This window comes from Homo sapiens, chromosome 11 (genome assembly GCF_000001405.40).
Source record: "Homo sapiens chromosome 11, GRCh38.p14 Primary Assembly".
Lineage (NCBI taxonomy): Eukaryota > Metazoa > Chordata > Mammalia > Primates > Hominidae > Homo > Homo sapiens.
In genome coordinates this window covers 127817028-127843490 of record NC_000011.10, presented here as the reverse complement: position 1 = coordinate 127843490, position 26463 = coordinate 127817028, and positions in this window count along the sequence as shown.

The following is a 26463-nucleotide window of genomic DNA, read 5'->3' as shown; positions in this document are numbered from 1 at the left end:
TTCTTGGACTCCTAGTTGAATGTTGGACTCTATTTATCCTTAGTTTATTTTTATTATCTTTCTACTATTCTTCTTTTAATTTGTTTCACTTTCTGGGAGATTTTCTTAATTTTATATTTCCACCTTTTATTCTTACTTTAGTTATATTTACAACTTCTCTTTCTGGTTTGATTATTTCATTTAACAGCACTCTGCCTCTTGTGATGGATTCAATATTTTCGATTTGTTCTGAGGAAACACTAATCACGATGTTTTGAAGGGGATTTGTGTGCATGTGCTCTCTGTATTGTTTCATTTTTCTCTTAGTTCCTTTTCTCCCTTTTTCTTGTAGTCAAAGATTTTCTTCAAAGGTCTGAAGTCTGGCAATGCATGTTTGTTCACATTAAAGTCTGTTCATATTAAAGAGCAAGGCCACAAAAGGCAGACTGGAATTTCTGTGTAGATACATGTGGGCCTCTTGAGTTCTGGGGGCACTAAAATACAATGAATAATAATTGTCCTTTTTATTCGGAGACCTGTCACTGTCAGTACATGGAGGGAGATCTTTGCTCTGGGCTATTATGTCTCCAGGGAATCTCCTAATCCCTTATATGAGGGGTGTGGTTGAGATGGGAAGATACATGCCTGGCAGAATTCTGGAAGCCAGATCAGGGAAGGGCCCTGAGGTTCTCTCTGTAGGTATTTCTCAATCCGTCTCCCTACTTTGGGCCTCATACCTCACTCATGCTGTCTTCTGTGTTGATGCACATGATAAGTCCTTTCCATTTCCATTTCTGTATCTCCAGAGAATAATCATTCCTGCATCAGGGTGGGGTGGGGTGAAGGGAGCATCATCTGGACACGCAGCACATGGGAAGGTCTCTGAGGGGCTTTCCAGTACAAGGACCTTAAACTAGGGAGCCTGTTGTCAGTTCAGCCTATCATCTCCCACTGCCAAGACACCTGGTGTTTCCACTGGACAAGCAGAGTTAGGGTGGGGTGGGCAAATGGGCTGTTCTTTGACAGTATTCATGTGCGGGTGCTCAGCTGGAGCTCCCTCTGTCCTCTCAGTCCTTGACAGTCAGTTAATTTGTTCTGTCTTCCAAAAAACTAGTTGAAACTTGTTCTCCTATAATTGTTACCCTTAAAAAAATTTTGGCATCGGGTAGTGGGGTTTAGGGAGAAAGGGAAGAAGGGGAAGAGAAACGCATGTGGTTAAACTGCTTTGTTTAACCAGACAGCAAATGATCTTCATCACAACTTATTACTCACACATTTAAAAATAATATAATTGAATATTCTTGACTACACATAGTGAATTAAAGAACACAGGAGATCCCACCAAAATGCAAGTAAAGAGTTTGTTTGCTTGTTTGTTCGTTCTTAAAGTATGAACCCTCAAGTACAGAGGAAATAAGAGGAAACAATAGCACTACCTGAGACTCTGGAAGCAAACTAGAAATGTTAGCTGACTATTAAGAGAAAACTGAAACCTATGTTGGCGGGTGGCAAGAACGGCCAGATGCAGTCTGACTTTTACCACAGAACTCCAGAAACGTGAAAAATTAATGATTCCAGCCAGATACCTTGGAACGTGGAGGTGCAGATTGGCCTAAAAGGAACAATAGTAGTGAAAAGTCCAACATCTTTCCGGGTTGACGTTGCCAGGTTTAGCAAACAAAAATACAGACTTGGGGGAACGGGTGGGAGGGGAGTGAGGGGTAAAAGGCTACACACTGGGTCCAGTGCACCTGCTTGGGTGATGGGTGCACCAACATCTCAGAAATCACCACTAAGGAACTTATGCGTGTAACCAAACACTGCCTGTTCCACAAAAACCTATTGAAATAAAAAAAAAATGCAGATGCCCAGTTAAAACTGAATGTCATAAAGATGGGAACAATAGACACCGCAGGTACAAGAGGGAGGAGGAAGAGAGTGGGGTAAGGAATGAAAAACTACCTATTCCGTACTATGCTCACTTCATGGTTTCGTATTCCAAACCTCAGCATCATGCAATATACTCATGCACCAAACCTGCACATACACCCCCAGAAACTAAAATAAAAGTTGAAAAAAAATCAAAATAAAATTGAATGTAAAATAGATATTTTAATTTGGGTCATACTTATAAAAAAACAAACAAACAAAAATGTTCTTTTTTTTTTTTTTTTTTTGAGACAGAGTCTCGCTCTATTGCCCAGGCTAGAGTGCAGTGGCACCATCTCTGCTCACCACAACCTCTGCCTCCAGGGTTCAATTGATTCTCCTGCCTCAGCCTCCCCAGTAGCTGGGATTACAGGCACCCACCACCACGCCCAGCTAATTTTTGCATTTTTAGTAGAGACGGGGTTTCAACACGTTGGCCAGGGCGGTCTTGAACTCCCGACCTCTGGTGATCTGCCCGCCTCAGCCTCCCAAAGTGCTGGGATTACAGGCGTGAGCCACCACGCCTGGCCCATTGTTTATCTTAAAGTGAAATTTCAGGCTGGGCACGGTGGCTCACTTTAGGAGGCCAAGGCAGGTGGATCATGAGGTTAGGAGTTCGAGACCAGCCTGACCAACATGGTGAAACGTCATCTCTACTAAAAATACAAAAAATTAGCCAGGCATAGTGGCACATGCCTATAATCCCAGCTACTCAGGAGGCTGAGACAGGAGGATCACTTGAACCTGGGAGGCAGAGGCAGAGGTTGCAGTGAGCCGAGATCACGCCACTGCACTCCAGCCTGGGCGACAGAGTGAGACTCCATCTCAAAAAAAAAAAAAAAAAGTGAAATTTCACTGTGTCCTGTACTTTTTCCTGGCAGCCTTACCCCAGATCCTCTCTCTCACCCAGCAACAAGGGGAAACTGTCTCTCCTCTTCCAGACAGAAGACTAGAAATGTACTCCTAGAAGATATGAAGCAGAAACTTTCTGGACATAGAACCATCACAACCAAGAGACTGCTTCCTGGACACAGAGTTGACTTCCTGGAAAGGGAGGACTGCGAGCCTGCTCACTGCTCCCTGCTGCATCGGCTCTCCTGCCCTCTTGGCTCTCAAAAGGCTGAAAGCCAGGCTTGCAATGCGCGAAATTATCTGGGGCATATGTTGAACCCATTTAACCAAGAAACTCCTGTTTCTTGCTTAGATATTTGGAGATCTAGAATAGAGATTTCTTTCTGAGAAACTGAACTGAGACCTGCACAGACTAATGGGAAGGGGCCACACAATGACCCTAGCCAGGAAAACCTGCCAGACAAGAAGCTCCTTGAGGGGTACAGAACTTCCAAGAGATGTTTAGTCAGTCACACTTCAAATATTAATGATCAACTAAGAAATCCCAGATCTTTCAGGAAAACCTTTCATATAAAAGACAAAGATAAGGGCCGGGCGCGGTGGCTCACGCCTGTAATCCCAGCACTTTGGGAGGCCGAGGCGGCCGGATCACGAGGTCAGGAGATCGAGACTATCCTGGCTAACACGGTGAAACCCCATCTCTACTAAAAATACAAAAAATTAGCCGGGCGTGTTGGCGGGCGCCTGTTGTCCCAGCTACTCAGGAGGCTGAGGCTGGAGAGTGGCGTGAACCCAGGAGGCGTTGCTTGCAGTGAGCCGAGATCGCACCACTGCACTCCAGCCTGGGCTGGACTCCGTCTCAAAACAAAAACAAAAACAAAAACAAAAACAAAAACAAAAAAAACAAAGATAAAAACAAAAATATTTAAAAAGGGACCTGGAAGACAGAAAAGCAATATAATGATCAGAAGAAAACTTTAAAAATGTACAGTCTTCAAAGGGACACGATTTAATTTATGGATCATTGAAATAAGAAGAAAACCAGGTGGAAAAAAGATTCAGAGAACAAGAAACTCTTAAAATTAAAAATGTGAATGCAGATATTAAAAATTCAATTCAGGATTGGAGATTAAATCTAAAGAAATATCCCAGAAAGCAAACAAACAAACAAAAAGTAAAATAAAATAAAGTTAGGAAAATGAGAGAAATTATTAGAAAATGCAGTTCTCCTGAATCAAACTAATGTTTTTTTCTGATATAAGTAGCAAAAAGAGAGGACAGAAAAACAGAGTAAGAACCTGTAAAATAAATGAATAATGAAAAAAATGTTAAAATAAAATCACCAGAACCAAAGAACATGAGTTTCTTGATTAAATAGGCTCAACATATACCCAACATAATGACTGAAAAAATAAAATAGCCATGTGAAAGTACATTGTTTCAAAAACCTTGGGGACAAGGTTCTAAAAATTTCTAGATAAAAAAAAGTCACAGATAGACAATCAGGAATCTTATTCTTGACATCAATATTAGAAGACAGAAGAGAATGTAGCAATGTCTTCACAATTCTGAGAAAATAGAATTTTCAACCTAGAATTCCCTTCAGCTCAACTATGAAATAAGTATGACGTGAAGATAAAGACATTTTTAGATGTGTGAGTACTCAAATGTTTGCCTCCAAGTATTCTTTCTAAGGAGATTACTGAAGGACATGCTTTAGTAAAATGAGGAAGCAAATCATCAATCAATAAGATATGATATCCAAAAAGTGAGGAATCCAATACAAGAGAGAGGTGTGGGGAACTCCTGCCTGATGACAAAGGCAGTTAGGGGACAGCAGGCTCAGAGTAAGCCAGCAAGCACCAGGCTGAACTGGAGAAGACAGAGGGCACCCACAAATAAAGATGGGCAATTCTGAGAAAATGTTTATACTGCTGAAAGAATGTTGGGATGTAAATGGATATTAGGTCCCTGGAAAACTAAGAGAGTGAGAGGAAGAGAGGGAGAGGATTGATTCTGTCATCAACACCAAGGAAAACAAAAAGGCGGCACAGGAAAGGAGATGTAAACCTACATTTCCAAAAGGAAAGTTAAATTTAAAACTACATGGCTCAGCAGTAAGTAATACCTAAAGAATGATGTGTTTTAAATAAAAGTTATAGCATAGCTATGTTGGGAAGATGTGAGAAGATTTAGTTTTTGAGAGTGTATGTGTAAGAGTGTAGGTTTTTATGTGAGAGAACATATGTATTTAGAGTTGTGAAAATTGAAGTCACCCTTTTACAAAGTAAAATGTTGATAGAAGCTATAGAAAAATTAAAAGAATAGAGATTAGAAATGTTTAAATGTTTTTGAAATATTGAGGCTAATATTCAGGGGGAAATCTCTAACTGTTGAAAATGATTCTTATCTGGGAATTGGTGCTGAGGAGGGGTGGGGCCAGGAACTGCTTTTTAAATTATAAATCTTTGATTCTATGATTTTCAACAATACACATATTTATAAAATAATAGATACATTTATATTTGATAAAACAATTATATACATATGCATGTATGAGTATATACATATCTATTTATCTATCTATCTATAGATGTATGTTGTTTCTCCCATATGATTTCTCCTATATTATTCCACCCCCTGCCCAGGATATAGTAGTGAGGTCCATCGGTTTCTTCCTTGTACTAATTTTCTTTCTTGTACAACACAAGTAGCCTGTACCGTCTTTTTTTCTAGCTTTTACGTGTCCTTATCTAGTCTACCCAGTTAGACTTTTGGTCCACCAAGATAAACATCATACCTCATATTCCTCTTGAGTCTCTCTCACAAAGAGACAACACTGCGCTAAACCCTAAAACACACTCAATAGAGTGCATATTACTGATTCTACTGTTCTAATCTTTGGAACAATGTTCTATCTGAAGTTCAACAAGACTAAAATCAGAAAGGTAAGTGCAATGAAAGGAAGGCTCTAGGAAATCTCCCTTCGATTTGAGGGAGAGAATCCATATGGATGTGGTAGTGTCATGATACCAATATAGTAATAGCCCTCGTTAGGGATAACTTTCTCTCGTGTAATCCATTGAGTTAGTGACCAAGTTCATCCAGACCTTCAGAACCCTATTCTAAAGGCTATGGTAATACAGACCATAAGGGAAAGACCAAGGAGTAGGCTCTGTCCTTCAAGGACCTGCTTCTTCCATCTGATTCATAAAGCTAGAGCTAAGTTTCAGATTTCTGAGTTCAAATGTAATTTCGAACGATACTAATAAAATCCATTGGTCTAGAATTACGATGAAGATGAAAGACTATGAATGGCAACAATAAAAGTTTCATAAAGGGAAATTAGATCAAAAGAGGTTTATATACAAAATACTTGGATTTTAGAACTCTAAGGAATCTAGCAATGCTTGGAATAGCTAAGCTAAAGCAATTCAAAGGAAATGCCATGTTACACAGCAGGTAATAAAGTTTATGGAATTCATTAAGAAGTAAAACAGGAATCAATGTTCCTAAAAGGGTTTAAATAAATTCATAGATGACTGATCTGTAATGGGTTATTAATGAAAATTTGATTGTGTTTTTAAGCTAACCTTTGAAGTTGATGTTAAGGAAAAACAATAATAACAACAAAAGTAACAACAATAAAAATAATAAAAGCATTTATTGAGTGCAATTAACTATCCCAAGTAATTTATATTATCTTGTTGAATTCTAGAGCTAATTATTATTCCCCACATTTTACAAAGGAGGAAAACGAGTCTCTGATGAGTTAATCATGGGCATTAGATTTTAACTAATCCAAATATGTAAGTTGCAGGATAGCTTAAGACTCCCATAATTGCTGGCCCAGGGGTATATGATGGATCTAGCTCAGGATTGCCTTTCCTTACTACCCATGTATTTATCAAGGTGAAAGCTGTTAAATGGGGACAAAGAAACCAAATGGACTACATGCAGCCTGAGGACTATATGCAGGATGGCTGCAAATCCCAGCTTCCTTGGGACAGACCCAGAGTAGCTATTATTATAACCCACTTTCACTCTGAAAAGTGTCCAGATTTGGAAGAGAAACATATGGTCATCCCAGGTATGTCTTAGTAATAAAGAAAAATTGGATTTAGGCACTGAGTGCACAAATATACTTAAGATTTTATCATGGAATATACTGAAATGTATCCTCAACCAAGCAAAATTTCTCAAAAACTGAGGCCCAGGACCCCCAACACATCACCACTTCCATTGCTAGTTCAACCCCATAACTCCTTCCTTTCCCACCTTCCATATTTGTATATTTCCTCTTCCACAGTAAGAACTCTGGATTCCAACAATATTAACACACAGTCACTCATTTGTTTAATTCTAAAATATACACAAAATAGTTTCATAATTGCTACATCCAGACAACCAACAAAAACATGTAACCTACGAAATGTTCAAGATGTGTTTGTACTCCTTTTTCCTCCAGTACTAAGAACATGCAGTCAAAATTCTATGAAAAAGATTGGTTGGTTTAGTTCTTTTTCCCCCACCTTTCAATGTGGTTATTTATTTTAGATATTTATGGTTTAAATATATCTCCTCTGTACAGAGAAATTGAGTTTAACTTTATTATCCAATTTGAAAATCTACTTTATATAAGTAGGTGAGTCAAAACTATTCTTCTTTAACATATGATTGTTACGTTTGACCTTAACACTGCATTATAACTTATATGATTACTGCTTATATTATGTGTACATTGTTTTTCTCTATTGAGTATGTCTTCCTGCTATTTTTAAAAGTATATTTTGGAATTTAGAAAAATTTGTATTTTTCTTGGTAATGACCTTTGTATTCTTTTTAAATATCTAATCTTATTTTTTCTTATTCAATATTTTAGTTTGATTTTAATTTTTTACTATTTAGTGTCAGTAGTTTTAGACTCTCACATGCAAACTATACAACAGTCAATGTTATTCTCTTTTGTCCTTTTTTTCTAGTAGTTTTCAGTTATATGATTTTATCTTTTTTTCAGAAAATACAGCATTTACATACTACTATTCCATTCCTTATTGCACCTTAAGTCTCAGCTGTAAAGTACGATGGTGTGTATATATATATGCATACCTTGGAGGTATTGCAGGTTCAATTTGAGACCACTGCAATTAAGCAAACATCATAATAAAGTGAGTCGCAGGATTGCTTGGTTTCCCAATGCAAATAAAAGTTATGTTTACATTATACTGTAGTTTATTAAGTTGCAATAGCATTACGTCTAAAGAACAATATGCATACCTTAATGTAAAATACTTTGTTGCTTAAAAAATGCGAATGATCATCTGAGACTTCAGCAGTGGTCATCCTTTTGCTCTTTTGCTGGCAGAGGATCTTGCCTCAATCTTAATGACTGATGACCAATCAGGGTCGGGGTGGCTGAAGTTTGGGGTGTTTGTGGCAATTTCTGAAAATGAGACAACATTGAAGTTGATGCAACAGTTCGATCTTCCTTTCATGAAAGATTTTGCTACAGCATGCAATCCTGTTTGGTAACATTTTTCCCACAATAGAACTTCTTTCGAGATTGGAGTCAGTCCTCTCAAAATCTACTGCTGCTTAATTGCCTAAGTTTATGGTATATTCTAAATGCTTTGCTGTCATTTAAACAATGTTCACAACGTCTTTATCAGGAGTAGATGCTATCTCAAGAAACCACTTTCTTTGCTCATTCATAAGAAGCAACATCACATCCATTAAAGCTTTATCGTGAGATTGCATCAATTCAGTCACGTCCTTGGGCTCCACTTCTAATTCTAGCTCTCTTGTTATTTCCACCACATTTGCAGTTACTTCCTCTACTGAAGTCTTGAACCCCTCAAAATCTCTAATCATATATGATGATAAACATTTTATCATATGCTTAATTTCTATCTATATATATTTTTTGATAAGATGTCTGTTAAAATCTTCTGCTTATTAATCAGGTTGTTCATTTTCTTACTGTAGAGTTTAAAGTGTTCTTTGTATATTTTAGAAACTCCCTTTTTTCAGATGAGTCTTTTGCAAATATTTTTGCTCAGTCTGTGACTTGTCTTGTCATTCCACCTTGTCATTTGCAGAGCAGAAGTTTTAACTGTAATAAAGTTCAGTATATAATTATTTCTTTCATGGATTATGCCTTTAGTCTTGTATATAAAAGGTCATCACCATATCCAAGATCATCTAGGTATTGTGTGATGTTATATTCTAGGAGTTTCAAAGTAGATCATGAAGGGTGTAAGGTTTGTGTCTAGTTTTATTTTATTTTTATGTAGATGTCCAGTTACTCCATTATATTGACTTTGCTTCTTTGTCAAAGATGAGTTGACTATATTTATGTGGTATATTTTTGAGCTATCTATTCTGTTCCACTGAGCTATTTATCTAATCTTTTGCAAATACTAAACTGTCTTGACTACTGTAGCTTGAGAGTAAGCCTTGAGGTCATTCAGTGTCAGTCCTTTGACTTGGTGTTTTTTTCAAAATGGAGTTTACTATTCTGAGTCTTTGGCGTCTTCATATCAATCTCAGAATCACTTTTTCAGTATCTTCCAAATAATTTGCTGGGATTTCACTGGGATTGCATTGACTCTATAGATCAATTTAGGAAGAACAATCATCTGGATGATACTGATTCCTAACCAAGAATATAGAATATCTCTCCATATATTTAGTTTTTATTTTTTATCATCAGTGTTTTGTCGTTTTCCCTGAAATAGATTATTATGTGTTTTGTGACATTTATTCCTAAGTATTTTTTGAGTGTTAGTGTAAATGGTAATGTCTTTTTAATTTTTCAAGTTTTGCTTATTTATTACTGGTATATAGGAAAATGATTGATTTTGTATATTAGCCTTGTATCTTTCAACCTTGCTAGAATTGCTTATTGGTTTCAGGATTTTTTTTTATCAATTCCTTTGGATTTTCTGTATAGATAATTATATCATCTGTGAAGAAAGATAGTTGTGTTTCTTTATTCCCAAACTGCATACATTTTATTTCTTCTTCTCATTTTATTGAATAATCAAGGACTTCCAGTACAATTATTAAAATCAGTGATGAGAAGAGACATCCTTGACTTGTTCCTGATGTTACCTGGAAAGCATCTTCTTTTTCACCATTAAGTACAATGTCAGCTGTAAGTTTTTTGTAGATGTTATTTACCAAGTAGAGAGCATGCCCCTCTTTTCCTTGTTTATTGAGAATTTCTATCATAAGTAAGTGTTGGATTTTGTGAATTTTTTTCTGTATCTATTGCTAGGATCATATAATTTTTCTTCTTTAGCCTGGTGAAGTGATGATTTACATTAATTGGTGTTCAAATGTTGAGCCAGCCTTGCATACCTGAAATAAATTCAGCTGGATCGTGGTATGGAATTCTTCTGTTTATACATCATTGGATTTGATTTATTATTAGTTTGGTATGGATTTATACCTGTGTCTCACTGTGTCAGTGAGAGATATTCGTCTGTATTTTTCTCTTCTTGTAATGATTTGTCCGGTTTTCGAATTAGGGAAATGCTAGCATAATCAAATGAGTTAGGAAGTATTCCTCCGCTCAAGGAAGTATTCCTTGAAGTGATTGTAAACAAATTGTATAATTTCTTTCCTAAATATTTTCTAGAAATCTCCAGTGAACCCATCTGCATCTGGTGCTTTGAGAGTTTATTGATTTATTATTCAATTTTCTTAATAAATATAGGCCTATTCAGAGTGTTTATTTTTAATATAAATTTAGGTGGATTATGTGTTTCAAGGAATTGTATAATTGTATCTAGGTTATAAAATTTGTGGGCATAGAGTTTTTCATAATATTCCTTTATTATCCTTTAATGTCTATGGATTTGTAATGATATCTTCTCTTTCATTTCTAATATTAGTAATTTTTAAATTTTGTTTAGCCTGGCCTAAAGGCTTAAAATCTAATTAATTTTTCAGCTAATCAGCTCTTGGTTTATAGATCTTCTCTATTGATTTCCTGTTTTCAGTTTCATTGATCTCTATACTGCTTTTTGTTATGTCTTTTCTCTGTTTACTTCAGATTTTAATTGTTGTTGTATTTAGATTCCTAAAGTATAAACTTAGAAGATTGAATTTAGATCATTCTCTTTTAAATACATACATACATCCAATGCTATACATTTTTCTCCAAGCACTAGTTTTGCTGTATCTCACAAATTTTGGCAATTCATATTTTAATTTTTATTTAGTTCAAAACATTTTTAAATTTTTTCTTAAGATTTCTTCTTTGACCCAGTTGTTATTTAGAAGCATGATGTTTACGCTCCACGTATTTTGGGATTTTCCAACTATTTTTCTGTTATTGATTTCTAGTTTAATTCCATTGTGGTCTGAAAGCAGATCCTGTATGATATATCTTCCTTTTAATTTGTTAAGATGTATTTTATGGTTCAGAATGCGATCTATCTTGATAAACATTCTATGTGAGACTGAGAAGAATGCGTAATCAGCTGTTGTTAGACAAAATAGTCTATAGATGTCAATTATTTCCAGTTGATTGATGATTTTGAGTTCAACCATGTCCTTACTGATTTCTTGCCTGCCGGAGTGTTAAAGTCTTCAATCGTAATAATGAATTACTCTATTTCTTTTTGTAACTTTATCAGTTTTTGACTCATACATTTGGGTGTTCTATTGTTAGGTACATACATATTAAGGATTATTATGTCTTCTTGCAAGGCTGCTCTATCTGAAATTAATATAGCTACTTCTGCTTTCTTTTGATTAGCATTAGCTAGATATAGCTTGTCTCGCCCCTATACTTTTAATATATATGCACCTTTATATTTAAAGTGATTTCTTATAGACAACATATACATGGGTTTTGTTTCTCATTCACTCTGACAATCTCTGTCTTTTAATTGGCATATTTAGGCTGTTAATATTTAAAGTCAATATAGTTGAGTTAATATCTACCATATTTGTGACTGTTTTCTCTTTGCTGCCTTTTCTCTTTGTTCTTATTTTTGTCTTCCACACTTTTTCTGCCTGTTGTGGTTTTAATTGATCATTTTATAGAATTTCATTATCTCCCCTTTCTTAGTCAATTATATTTCTCTTTTTCACTTTTTAAAATAGGTGCCATAGAGTTTGTGACATATATTACAACGAATCCAAGTCTCTTTTTGAATAACACTATTCCAGTTCACAGGTACCACAAGTACTTCATGATAACAAAATTTTTCTAATTCTTCTTTCCTGTTTGTTGTATCATCACTGTTATTCATTTCACTTATATATATCTATAAGTGTCCATAAGCATGTGTGTATGTACACAAATACTTTGTTGCTATTATTATTTAAACAAATAGCTATCTATTAGATCAACTAAGAATAAGAAAAATAAAAGTTTTTATTTTACCTTTATGTATTCATTCTGTGGTATGCCTCTTTTATCCCTTCTTTATGTAGTTTTGAGTTTCTAATCTATATTATTTTTCTTCTCTGTAGAGATCTTCTTTTAACATTTCTTGTAAGACAGGTCTACTGACAACAAATTTCCTCCATGTTTGTTTGCCTGATAAAGTATTTTTTTCCTCCTTCACTTTTGAAGACTAATTTTATAGTGCACAGAATTCTAAGTTGGTGGGGCTTCTTGTTTGTTTGTTCCTTTGTTGTTGTTTTTTCTCAACACCTTAAGTATTTTATTCCACTCTCTTTTTTCTTGCATGGCTTCTGAAGTCAGATGTAATTTTTATATTCGTTCCTTTGTAGGTAAGAGATCTCCCTGGCCTTCCACTCACCCAGATTCTTTGAAGATATTTTTCTATATATTTGACTTTCTGCAGTTTGAATCTGGTATTCCTAGGTGTAGGTTTTTCAGCATTTATTCTGCTTGGTGTTTTCTGCACATTCTGGATTTGTAGCTTTGTGTCTTATAATAATTGAAGGAAGTTCTCAGTCATTACTGTTTTAATTTTTTTAGATTCATTTCTCTCTCTCTCTCTCCCTCCCTCCCCACCTCCTTGTATTCTCATGAGGTATATGTTGCACCTTTTGTAGTTGTCCCATAGTTCTTAGAAATTCTTTTTTAGTATTTTGTCTTTGCTCTTCAGTTTTGGAGGTTTCTATTGAGATATCTTCAAATTCAGAGTTTCTTTTCTGAGTCCAGTCTACTAATGAGCCCACCAAAGGCATTATTTATTTGTTAAGTTTTTAATTTCTAGCATTTCTTATTTTTTCTTATAATTTGCATTTCTCTTTTTATAGTATTCACCTGTTCTTGCATGTTGTCTGTGTTTGTTCATTAAAATCCTTAGGTTATATGCTTTTTAATTCCTGGTCTGATCATTCCAAGTCTTGCTGTATCTGACTCTGGTCCTGATGCATGTTCCCTCTCTCCAAACTGTTTTTGCTTTTTAGCGTGCTTTAGAATTTTGTTGTTGCTGTTGTTAAAAGGTGGACATGATGTACTAGGTAGTAAATAGGTCTTAGTAATATGGTAAGATGCAGGGGGAGGGGAAGAGTTTGATAGCTCTATGAGTAGGTATCAGTCTTTTGATGAGCCTCTGCCCTTGAACTGTGAATTTCACCAGTGCTTCTCAGTTCCTCCTGCTGTGGTAAGTCAGGCAGGATGGCTAGATGGAGCTGGAATTGGGCATTCTCCTTCCCCTGGGTTAGTCAGGCTTTGATAAAACATTGGCAGGTTAGGGTATGATTAAATCGTTTCCCCTAAACATAGTAACGTGTCTGTAATCACAGCTACTCAAGAGGCTGAGGCAGGAGGATTTCTTGAGCCTAGGAATTTGAGACCAGCCTGGGCTGGTCTCACCAGATGGTGAGACCCCTATCTCAAAAGAATAATAATAATAAATAAAAAAGTTTCTCTCGAGGGCAGGACTTAATAAGAAGCTAAAGTTTTTAATCTCTCAGACTTGTCCACACTAACCCTCAAGCATTTGTCAATTACAGTTTAGATTTTTCCTACCCTGGCACTGATTCCCATAGTGGTTTTCCCTATGGGGTTTTTGCTCCAGTAAGTTGCGCTTCTCTGTGTTTGTCTGTTGATCTTGCCAATTTAGGAGCAGCAGTTTGCCCTGTGATGGATCTACGCACAGTTGCTTATTTCTTTTCAGTTTGTTCAGCCTTTTACATGTTGTTAAAATGGAAAAGTAATTTCTAACCTTTTTACATGCCAGACCAGAAACCAGAGGTTAAAAGGTTTGATTCCCATTTTATATCTTTATTTTTTTAGAGACACTTTGTATGAATTTAATGTTTTCATTTGTTTTGCTTTTTCTGCTCTATTCCAAGGCATACTGTGGATAGACTACTTTTTTCTAACTGTATCCTCAAGTGCAGCTAATTTAATAGATGATACATATGGTGCAGAGAGAGATAAAATATGGTTTTGCTTATCTAGTTTCTTTTTTTTTTAAGATTCTCAATCTCCCCCCTTGTACTTACTCCTCTCAGATTGCTGATGCATCTCCAGTGGGCACCACACCTTCTCTATTTATCTTTTTTATCCAAAGAAACAATGCTTCTGTGAGGCGCCACCTCTGGTTCTGAGCAAATAAGCAACTTCCCTGTAGCCAATTATGTAAACAACCATATCCCAACCATAACTTTCTTCTTTCTTCTTCCCTCCTGGAAATAAGAGATCACTCAAATCTTTAAGTGTCATGTTTTTAGGTTATTGGGAAGTTAGTGGCACCCTGAAAGATAATAAAATCTGTGGAAGGAACTGATATGCAAGGAAAAATAAATTAATGCATTATTGGAGGTGGAAAATATACCCTAAAGGGCTATGGCTATTTTGAACATTTCTAGAGTCTGCCCACTTTCTATCTCTGTGGAGATTTTCCGAATAAACAGTGTGGCTCTTTCTTTTATTCATGACATGCTGGTACTGACATTTAACTGCTTTCTGGACATGGCCATCATTTCCCCCCAGTCAGCTCACCAGTTGACCCCTTCTGAATTTTACATGTTTGCTTCTAGAGCCTATACTCAGCTGCCCTTTTTTTAATTCACCTTCGATCTTGCTGTAGCTTAGAACCTGGGGATTCAGTTGGTACCTGAAACTGAACCACAAATGCCAGTTTACAAATGTAAAGTCATAGAATATGCCCAGAGCAAAGGTGCATGTTTCTTCCTGGCACATAGGTTACTTAGGTTTCAAAAGTTGAGATTCAAAAATTATACAATTGTGATAAACAAGTCAAGTCCCATTGTATACTTTGCATCCCCAGTGTCTTCCTGAAGTATGAACCCTGAGTATTCATTTACTGTTTTACTAAATATACCAAGGTAAATACTTGGAATAAATATGTGATTAGGTAGGAGAGTGCCTGCTCCCAGAGTCTTGGAATTACAGTGGTATGTACAAGAAAACCACTGATTACAATACAGTGTGCTGAATACCATATATAAGATGCTATGATAGTAAAGAAAAAGTTCCTACAAAACTCAGGCAGACAGGGAGAAGGCTTCCTGAAGTTCCTGGAGAAGTGAGGAGTATAAAATCCCAAATGAAGAATTTGGCATTTGCAAAGGAGCAGGTGCTGGTCTGTGTAGTAGAAAGGGTAGCTGATAGATGTGAAGTGGGGCCAGATTGTGGTTAACCTGAATGTCAGAAAAAGGAGCTTGGCGTTGTTCTGATGGAAAATAAAGTTACTAGAGTGTTGGGGTGGAGAATGAGAGTAACAATCAGCTTTGCATTTTAGAAGGGTTCTTTATTAGCAACACTATGGGCCACATATTGAACTATGCCTGCGATATCACAGCATTCTAGTTCTCACAAGCACTTGAGCACCCAACCAATAAGACTAAACCCATCATGGGTTCTTACCTCTATGTTAACAGATCAAAAGGCAGGCTGTGGATGAATTGCCCAAATTACTTTGCCAACATAAGGCAGCAGCCAGTCTGAGCTATGATCTATATCCCAGCTAGCAAAGAGTCAAAGAGCCTCTTAATTCAATTTCCTATAATCTCCAAGTAAGTGCAAAATTTCAAAAGCTTTCCAAAATTAATCGGTTTCAAAAATTACACTGGATTCAATGCTGAAGCTAAGTAAATGTTCAGGTTTTCTCCACTTTGTAACTTTGCTGATCTTTCCTGTCTCTTATTAATGTTGGAAAAATAATAGATGAACTTTTGCATCATTGATATTGCAGTGTCTTTAGTGAAGATGAAAGTATAACATGTGGTGAGGTGGGGAATAAAGCACATGTGGTAAGCAACTCACAGACTAGAATGCTATCTGGATAAAATACAAGAACCGCTTTAACAGCTTTGAATCTTTTTACTAAAAAGGACTAAAATTTTTTGGCATGGATCTCAGAGTACAGATTCAAATTCTGTTCTATCATCCATCAATTCTGGGATTTTAAGTAAGCTAGTCTGCTTCTCTGAGCCTGAGTCTGGGGGACATTGGGGTTTCAGACATAAGAGGTTTCAGACATAAAAGGCACTTTAGAAGTGCCTTTACTCCTTAAGTGTCCAATTTTTCTTATATTTGCATCTCAGAGTCAGGGATTTATGACCCCAGAAGTCATAGATTTAGTACTTATGTCACCCTTTCCTCAACTTCCAAAGCAGAGTGATTGGTTCCATGCATCAAAGGACAGGACTCTGCCTACTTCGTTAGGCCCCCGAGGCTGTTGAAATCACCAGCCAGACATTTTTAGGGCTGTAACACAGAGATCTTGCCCACATCCTCAGCTTCTCATAGGCTTATCCACGACTTCTGACATTATGGAAAATGCAAATAGACTCCTCATGAGCATGAAACTCCAGTGAAAGAATAAAGTATAAAACAAAATATTTCTCTGTAACCTCCACATTGCCACACACAAGGTTTCCTCTAGAGCAGCAGTTCCCAACCTTTTTGGCACCAGGGACTGGTTTTGTGGAAGACAATGTTTACATGGACTGGGGGTGGAGTGGGAGGGAGGTGGAATGGTTTTGGGATGATTCAAGTACATTATATTTATTGTGTACTTTATTTCTATAACTATTACATGGTAATATATAATGAAATAATTATACAACTCACCATAATGTTGAATCAGTGGGAGCCCTGAGCTTGTTTTCCTGCAACTAGGTGGTCCCATTTGGGGGTTTTGGGAGACAATGACAGATCATTAGGCATTAGATTCTCATAAGGAGCATGCAGTCTAGATCCCACACATAAACAGTTCACAATAGGCTTCACAGTCCTATGAGAATCTAATGCCACCGCTGATATGACAGGAAGTGGAGCTCAGGGAGTAATGTGAGTGATGGAGAGTGGCTGTAAATACAGATGAAGCTTCACTGGCTCGCCTGCCTCTCACCTCCTGCTGTGTGGCCCAGTTCCTAACAGGCCACAGACCAGTACCAGTCCATGACCCAGAATTTGGGGCCTCCTACTCCAGAGGATACTGTATCCAAGGAATATATAATATGTCCACTTAGAAACCAAAGAGTTATCTTTCATGCCACAAGAATTTTTTTTTTGCCTGGGCGAAAATCTCAGAACTTTCTTTTTTTTTTTTTTTTTTGAGGCAGAGTCTCGCTCTGTTGCCCAGGCTGGAGTGCAGTGGCCAGATCTCGGCTCACTGCAAGCTCTGCCTCCCGGGTTCATGCCATTCTCCTGCCTCAGCCTCCCGAGTAGCTGGGACTACAGGCGCCTGCCGCCACGCCTGGCTAATTTTTTGTATTTTTAGTAGAGACGGGGTTTCACCATGTTGGCCAGGATGGTCTCGATCTCCTGACCTTGTGATCCGCCCACATCGGCCTCCCAAAATGCTGGGATTACAGGCGTGAGCCACCGTGCCCGGCCTAACTTTCTTGCTGTAATAACCACTGAACGAATGAGAAAAAAATGAGCCACAAATTCATGAAGTCAGTATGCTTTACCAAAGAGTGGTAAATGTGCAACTCTGTTTTATAGCCTGAAGAAATAAGAAAGTTATACCAAAATAGTCCAGAAAACATTTCTCTGTTCTAGGACCAGGTTTTCCTGAGATGCCAGGCAGTAATGCAGATTGGAGGGTTGGAAGGCTATTCTGATACACCTGAGGAAAGCATAAAACACACAGATTATTCTACTGGGTAAACACCTAACTGCCTCTGTAAAAGTGGATTCCTTTTATCTCTTTATTATTTGAAGATAAGATTTTCTTTTTTAAGTCTTAGAATTCATAGGCTTTCAGTAAAATTCATAAATGCTTATTCTTTCATGTCACCCCTCATGGATTATACCTAAATCCCACTGGAAAATTCTCATCATATTTCAAGAGAGCCCTTGGACTTTTGTTAGGATGGACTTAACTCTCATCTTTGCAAAAAGACAGTGTTCCCATGGTGATGAGGATGACATCATCGGGACTGGTTCCTACCGTGAATACAGTCCCATTGATCACCACGGGAATAGATGGGATAAGAGATAACAGGATTTTCTGTACAAACACAGGTAACTCAAAGATTAGCCAGGCTAACAAGCTATGAATTTTCACTAAACGTAAGCCTGATAGATTGCTTAAGATTATTATCCTCTTCACTGTCAATGGCATTCTAAAATAGCAGGAATTCTCCTGTCCTATTAGGCTCCTCCAAGGATCTGTAACCTATATGGGTAGGTGGCAACTTAAATACATTACTGACGTGCTAATATTAGGCTTTTGTGATCGTGAGAAATTTTTGCTCTATTAAGCCAAGTTACATAAAGCAGGAGCTGGAAAGTCAACTGGAGTGTGTCTTTTTTAGACAACCGGAAAACTGAAATAGGTTTTATAGCACACTATAGCCAATCACCTAACTTTATTCTAAATGGAAAAGCTATACCCTTTGCAAAATTCTATTACATTGAATTATTCTTCTGTAACCATTTGTAAAAGGAAAGCATCAATTCATGTATGACAGGCATCTTCTCCCCATGATCATAACCAATTTTACTAATAGAAGTCTGTGTACAACTTGGCCTAAAATTAGTAGGTTCTTTTTTTTTTTTTTTTTTTTTTTTTTGAGACGGAGTTTCGTTCTGTCGCCCAGGCTGGAGTGCAGTGGCGCGATCTCGACTCACTGCAAGCTCCGCCTCCCGGGTTCACGCCATTCTCCTGCCTCAGCCTCCCGTGTAGCTGGGACTACAGGCGTGCGCCACCATGCCCGGCTAATTTTTGTATTTTTAGTAGAGACGGGGTTTCACCGTGTTAGCCAGGATGGTCTCGATCTCCTGACCTCGTGATCCGCCCATCTCGGCCTCCCAAAGTGCTGGGATTACAGGCGTGAGCCACCGCGCCCGGCCAATTAGTAGGTTCTTATGTCCTAATACATGACCTTCAATATCTTAGTTTTCAATACTATAAAAAGAATACTCACGTGCCAGTATATCCATCTATCTAACTACCTGTCTATTTATTGATCTTTGGTTGAGTACTGATTATATTCTAGGTCCCATGATATAGATATGAAAAAAACTGAATTATGATCTTGCTCTTGCCCTACAGAACTGCAGACTCTGATGAAGGAGATAAACACATACATAATTACAATGCTATATAATGTCTTGAATATGGGTTTATACTGAGATACACACAAATGAAAGAGTAACTAACTTTTCTGTGAGAGTTAAGGAATATATAACAGAAGAGATGGTATTTGACACAGGCCTGGGACTAGATTAATACAAGCCTTGGTAGTATATTTAATATCCCTGGATCACAAGGGGTGACTGAAAAACAAGAAGTACAAAAATCAATTGGGGAAAGCTGCAAGAACGTTGAGTCTCTCATTCACATGTAGATCCCTGACTCCCTCAGTAGCTGAGCCATATATGAAGTTAAGGATCGGGTTCATGCTAAGCATATTTCTGGACCCTGTCCAATACACAGAATTGGCCCAAGATGGGCTCAGTGTTTTTCATCTTATTTGGACTATGAACTCCTTTAAGAATCTAAGAAAGCGTCTAAATCCACTCCCCTGAAAAATGCAGAACACATTAGAAATACAAATTTGCAAAGAATTTTCCAGCATTCCATGAAACTTTAAAGAGTATCTGTAGAGTCTATGTTAAGAACTTTTAGTTCTTAATAGACAGATACTAGAGTTATATTGCTTGTATGTAGTTAGACTATTCAATTACCTCAAAAGATTATGGGGAAAAAATAGATAATCTATAAGCTAGATTATCTTTGTCTCTGCTGTTTTATAGGGCCGAATACATTATTTTCTAGCTGTGTAATCTTGGATAACTTCCCCAAGCCCCAATTTACTCATTTTTATAATGAGGATATTAATCCCATTCTTCAGAATTTGTTGTCAAGATTAGAGATAACACATATGGAGTACCTAGAAAAGTGTCTGGCATATAATTTATTTCATTTGTATCATTATCATTAGTATCAGTATAAGTGCTTGTATTGTATAATGACAATAAAATTGCATTCCAGAAATTCAGGGAGCAAATTATGGCGATCAGATGCAATATCTATTTTAATTCTTTGGAGATATGTTAAACTTGTTTGTCTAGAACTCCCTCTGCCCTCAAGATGATTAATAAAATATTGCAATTACGTTCTAAACCCTCTGGGCAGAAAGTATAGCTCCTATATATTCTGTACTATGTTCAATAAATGTTTAATAAAATGATACTACTACTTGGGATTTCTATAGTTCTTTTATTTGGTAGTCTCCAAGTACTTTATAGATATTAGTTCATTAATTCTCCCAATTCCACAGAGACTAGGAAGTTAGGAAATGTTAAAAGCATCTTCTCTGTCTGTTGGTTTAAATGCATGCCCTCCCCTCTCCCCGCAAACCTTGTTGTGCCATTCTCTCCAATGGCACCAGTGTTTAACCCCGTCCTCTTAGCATGAAGGCCCTTCACCAAGTCTACCAGACTAGCTCATCTCACTCAACTGTCCCAACCTTTCTTCTTCTCTTTTGTTAAAGTTTGCAGTTTCTGTTCATTTTTCTTTAATAGACCTGATCTCTAAAACGGGCTGATTCCTTAATAGATCCAGACTATAGGCATTTCAAATAATAAATACAAAAATAATAATTATAATAGCTTCTGCCTATTGAAGGTCAGACACTAAGATATGTTAAAAGTATCATGTCTTTTGTGCATCTCAAAAACCCATTATATTCTATCATTATCTCCATTTTATAGTGAGAAAAATGGGTATCTAAGAAATTAAATACACTTGTGTAAGGTTACACAGCTGACAAGAGGCCAATCTGGAATTTGAACCCAGGTATGTCTACCCCTAAAACATAAGAAGATTTATTAGAAATTATGCAAATTCTCTATTTCTCAGGGTACTCTGGGAACCTTCCAGAACCATCAGAGCTACCTGTCTGTGTCTGGGAAAATTAGAAGACTTGCTCTGATATTGGAACTTGTAGTAAGGTGAGCTATCACTGAAACTCCTATGATTCTAATCTCCATTTGTCCTTCCTTCTTCCCCTCCCAGTCTACCACTCCCTTAAAGGACCCCAAGAAGATATGGGATTGATGCTTCATCCCAGAAGCACTCTAAAGACTACCCAGCAGGGCTTTCCAGCAGCCACATGAATGTCCTATAAAGCCTCTCTTCACACCTGGGTCACACAAAGGTGGGAAAGACTCAGTGCTGTCCTGAAGACTGTCCAGTTCCTGAAATCCATATGTTCACTGGATCTTTATGTGTACAACACTCCTCTTTAGCCCTCACTGGCGAGCATCCTCTCATGCCAGTGTCTCCACTCTTAACTACTCTCCCCTCCTCCCTCCTGGAATCTTGGAGGATTTCTGAGAGTCTACCATCATTGCAACACATTTCTCCTCCATTATAACATCAACCATGCCACACTTTCCATCCCAACTGCTAGCAATAGACACTTGCATGTAATAAAAAATATTAATTGAATTAATTAAGAGAAAGACATATCAAGGGGTTGCTGTGAGGGACACTATATTGTCTCTTTTCATATATATGTATATATGTAATGTTGCTGTGCTTTTTTAATTTAAATGTTAATTTTTTTATTTATTTTTATTATTTATTTATTTATTTTTTTTGAGACGGAGTCTGGCTCGTCACCCAGGCTAGAGTGAAGTGGTGCAATCTCGGCTCACTGCAAGCTCCGCCTCCCGGGTTCACGCCATTCTCCTGCCTCAGCCTCCCGAGTAGCTGGGACTACAGGCGCCCGCCACGATGCCCGGCTAATTTCTTGTATTTTTAGTAGAGACGGGGTTTCACCTTGTTAGCCAGAGTGGCCTCAATCTCCTGACCTCGTGATCCGCCCACCTCAGCCTCCCAAAGTGCTGGGATTACAGGCGTGAGCCACCGCGCCCAGCCAAATGTTAACTTTTTTAATGCTGCTATTTTGATATCCACACTAGAAACTAAAAAAAAAAAAAAAAAAAAAAAAAATGAATTACAGAGACTTAAGATTCCCAAAGCCATATCATGATTAAATGGCAGAAAGGGAACTCAAATCCAAGCTGACCCAGACTAGAACCCTTATCCTCAACTACCTCGTTAGCTTTGCTGTGAGAGTCAGCAGTGCTGCAGAGCTGGCTATATTTATATTTTCACCATAGTTTTTTATTTGTGAGTTGACCTTAGACGTTACCTACTGAAGGGACCCTAACCTTTCTGTGAACAGGTGCTGTGTTTAAGCCTTCAGAGCTTGTTCATCAGCAAAGAAGGAATGAATGGGTGGACCCATTCGTGCATTCGTGCTAGGGTTGTGGGGAAATCATCAGGAAGTGAGAGGTGACAGTGACATTCCTGAGAAGAGAATGAGACAGAGTTGCCAGAAAGACATGTTTTGGGGTGTACTCACTCTTAGTAATTCACCTCCTACAAGAAAGCACAGGGACTGCAGATTCTGTTCATTACCCTCATATTCTCATTTATCAGATGGGGGATTTTTACAAGAAAGATGAAATTCATTTCCCAGGGTAAGCAGCTACCTTAACAATTTATACTCAAGTTCATCCTAAAAGAATTGGGGGCTGATTAAGCATACAACTCTTCGTGGAAGACCCCAGGCTACTTAGATGCTTGGGAGATATTTGCTGCTGCTGTGAATAAAGTTTTTTAAACAGTAATGTTGATACTATCTTTATTTCAGCAGCTAGGAGAAAAAAAACAAGCAAGCCAAAAGGAACAAAAACAAACAAACAAAAAAATTGTAGAGTCCTAAGAGTTGCTTAATAATATACTAACCATGTTTAGAGAATTCAGGTTCCTGCTCCTTTAGGAATATTCTAAATTAACATTTTATTAACCATAAATTACATTTTCTCTTGAACATGTTCAAATTCAGCTATAACCATTGTTCCCACTAGCAAGGTGCCTGCTGTGTACCAGTCATAAAGATTGCATGAGAGAAGTGAGCTATTGCTCAGAACTTTCTAGTTGTGCCAGACATATGCTGGGTTGCATTTTAATTCTCACAACAAGCACAGAGGAAACAGATGATTATTACCCATTGACAAATGAAGACAGAATATGTCATTGGCTGGATAATGGGTAGATGTGTGGTTTGACCTGACGTTTGTCTGACGCCAAAGTCCAGGCCCTATTCTTTAGTTTATACTCTATCCTCTTCAAAGCCCATACTCTACTTCTCTGAATTCTGCAGTGTGAAAAGACGCATGTCCAATAAGGGCCTGTGCAGATTGTGATTCCAATCAGATGGAAGCCAGAGTGAAAGTCACAGAGTCTTGCCTCCAAAATACCACTGAACTCCTCGTTCCCTGTGCATGGCCTAAATGCACCTCGGTAGGAGGATTGAAGAAGCCCAATCATCAGGCCAAGCTGTCTTCAGGGATTCCTGAAGCCAGGTCCGTGAATTCTGTGCCTCTGAGGAAACATTGATTATGTCCCCTTTCTTGGCTTCAAACATGGGTCAAGACAAAGACCAGAAATAGTGCCCAGTTTTTTCTCAAGTTGGGGGTAAAGAGCTCTATACATCTATGAGTAACAAGACTAAACTGCAATTCTATGGTCACCCTTTTTTCAGATATACTTTCTTCAGTCCCCTAGGACAGAACCTTCTTGGTTCCTTTAGGATCAATGTGACTTATTCTAGAGATGCTCATGTGTAAAAGTCTCTTTCAGCTTAAAAATGTGATGTAATTGTTTCTTCCTGTCCCTGTAATTCTAAGGACACCACCAAGCACTAGGCAATTCGCAGGAAAGCGGGACTTCTACTGCCCTTTCTCTAGGCCCAGGATCCTGCATCCTCTCTCCCATATGGAATCATCAGCCCAGTGATTTTCTGAGCATCATGTTGTTTCCCAACTATGAATCCTTCAGATATGCCTGCTATCCTCAACCCACAAAACCTTGATGTGGGTGTAGAGAAAGTAATGCAACATAAGTCTGATTCACTTCATCGAAACAATTGGGGAGCTAAAGTAAAAAGTATTTTTGCCTTACTAATTTTTTCCTACTACTTTTACTCTCAAAGACGTTTTACATCTTTTGCATTATATAATGTGCACAATATACTTAATTGTTAGGGAGAAAAGAGATTAGCATCCCTTCTCATAGTAAAACAAAATCAAAACACAAGCAAAATTAAGACCCAAATGGATGCCATGACCAAACTAGACTTTTTTGGAGCTCATCTGTAGCAGGTCTCTTCAATCCAAACACAGGACCTTTTACCAGAGTCAGGATGCTTTTTCCCCTTAGTATTTATCCTGAAAGATAACACTCCCTTAGGTAGTTATTTAGGAACAGATTTATTTATGGGGGTTAATTTTTCTTCTGGAACAATCATAGTAAATATGCATATTACCTATGAACAGAAATAGTAGCCTCCTACTTCTCTCGGCAGGTTCAGAAAACAGTTCTTTTCGGAGTCTGTGAAAGGCTGTTGATACTGTCAGTGGTGTTACCCAAAGCTATACCTCAGTTGAGCCTGAGCAGCAATGCGTCTGTGCTTTCATGTGGCTAAAGCACTAACACAATTACAGTGTCCTAGCTGACTGGCAGTTTTGGTTCCTGGTTTCTTAACAAGAAAAGAGATGGTATTAAACCTGGAAATTGTCTATTTTTACAGGCTTAAGGGAAATCACTCAGGTGAATAAAAACTCAAAGACCTAACTTGAAGAGCCTCATTAGAAGATGTTTGAATATCATATTGCTTTATTCCAAAGGTTAAACACATTTAACCCAGGAAGGAGAAATCCTGCAGGAGGCAAGTGGAGCATATCTTGCTTCTCAGCTAGCTCTGAGGCTGAGAGCTCAATGCCACCCACCCAGCAAGCAAGCAGACACAGTCTTGGGACCTAGAGAAACACTTTAAAGGCTAGTTTTGTTTGTTGTATTTTTATTGATTGAGACAATTTAGAATTTAGGTCAATTGACAGAGAGTGCATAGGGTCATACTCTTTCAAGGCAGCTTATATCTGGTTGTGTTTACATGAACCAATGTGTGGGCCTTGAGCAAAGTGTAGCTGAGGATAATCAGTTTCTTCATTCTAAATCTTGGCTGCAGCCTCCCCAGCACCCTATGTCCAATTCTGTATGTTTCAACAGACAAGAGATATGAAGAAGCTGATAGGGTTTAGGGAAGACATTTAAAGATAAATAATGAAGGCAGGCGATGTGGCTCATGCCTGTAATCCCAGCGCTTTGGGAGACTGAGACAGGTGGATCACCTGAGGTCAGGAGTTTGAGACCAGCCCAGTCAACATAGTGAAACCCTGTCTCTACTAAAAAATAAAAAAGTTAGCCGGTGTAGTGGCAGGTGCCTGTAGTCCCAGCTACTCGGGAGGCTAAGGCAGGAGAATTGCTTGAACTTGGGAGGCAGAGGTTACAGTGAGCTGAGACCACGCCATTGCACTCCAGCCTGGGCAACAAGAGTGAAAATCTGTCTCAAAATAAATTAATTAACAAATTAATTAAAACTAAATAAAGATGAATAATGAACAAATAATATAATTGTTTTAAAATAATGGGTGAAATAGTATTGTGTTTAACTATATTAAAAAACTTATTTTCTTCTGGAATATGAGGCATATAGCAATATAGTTTCTACTGAATGAGAGGAAATTGGTTTTAAACTACACTGAGATATAAGAAGTTGCAAAGAAATGTGTCTTAGTCTGTTTTGTGCTGCTATAACAGAATACCTGAGACTGGGTAACTTATAACAACTGAAACTTATCAGCTCCCAGTTTTGGAGGTTGGGAAGTCCAATGACACAGTGCCAGCATCTGGCAAGCGCCTTCTTGCTGTGTCATCACATAGTAGAAGGCAAGAGGGCAAGAGAGGGAAAGGGGGCTCTGAACCTACCCTTTATAACAGCACCAATCCCACCCATGAGGGTGGAGCCCTCCTGGCTTAATCACTGCTTAAAGGTGCCACCTCTTTATACTGTTACAATGGCAATTAAATTTCAACATGAGTTTTGGAGGGGACAAACATTCAAACCATAGCCAAAAAAAAAAAAAAAAAAAACAAAAAACAAAAAAACCAACTACTTGTGTTGAAAGGTTGAATGCCTTTGCCTTGCCTTGAAGTGGAAGTACAGGTCTACGAGACTGTCCAATGCTCTTTCCATAATGCAATGATGCAGGAACTCAACAGACAGTGCTATGGGTTGGTTTCACTTTTGACTACTAGCAATTTAGCGTGATTCAAAGAGTGATTGCCTTTTAAGGTACAGAAGAGCAAGAGGTTGAAATAGAGGTCTTTCCTTCAAGGTCTAGCATAAATACCACCTCCT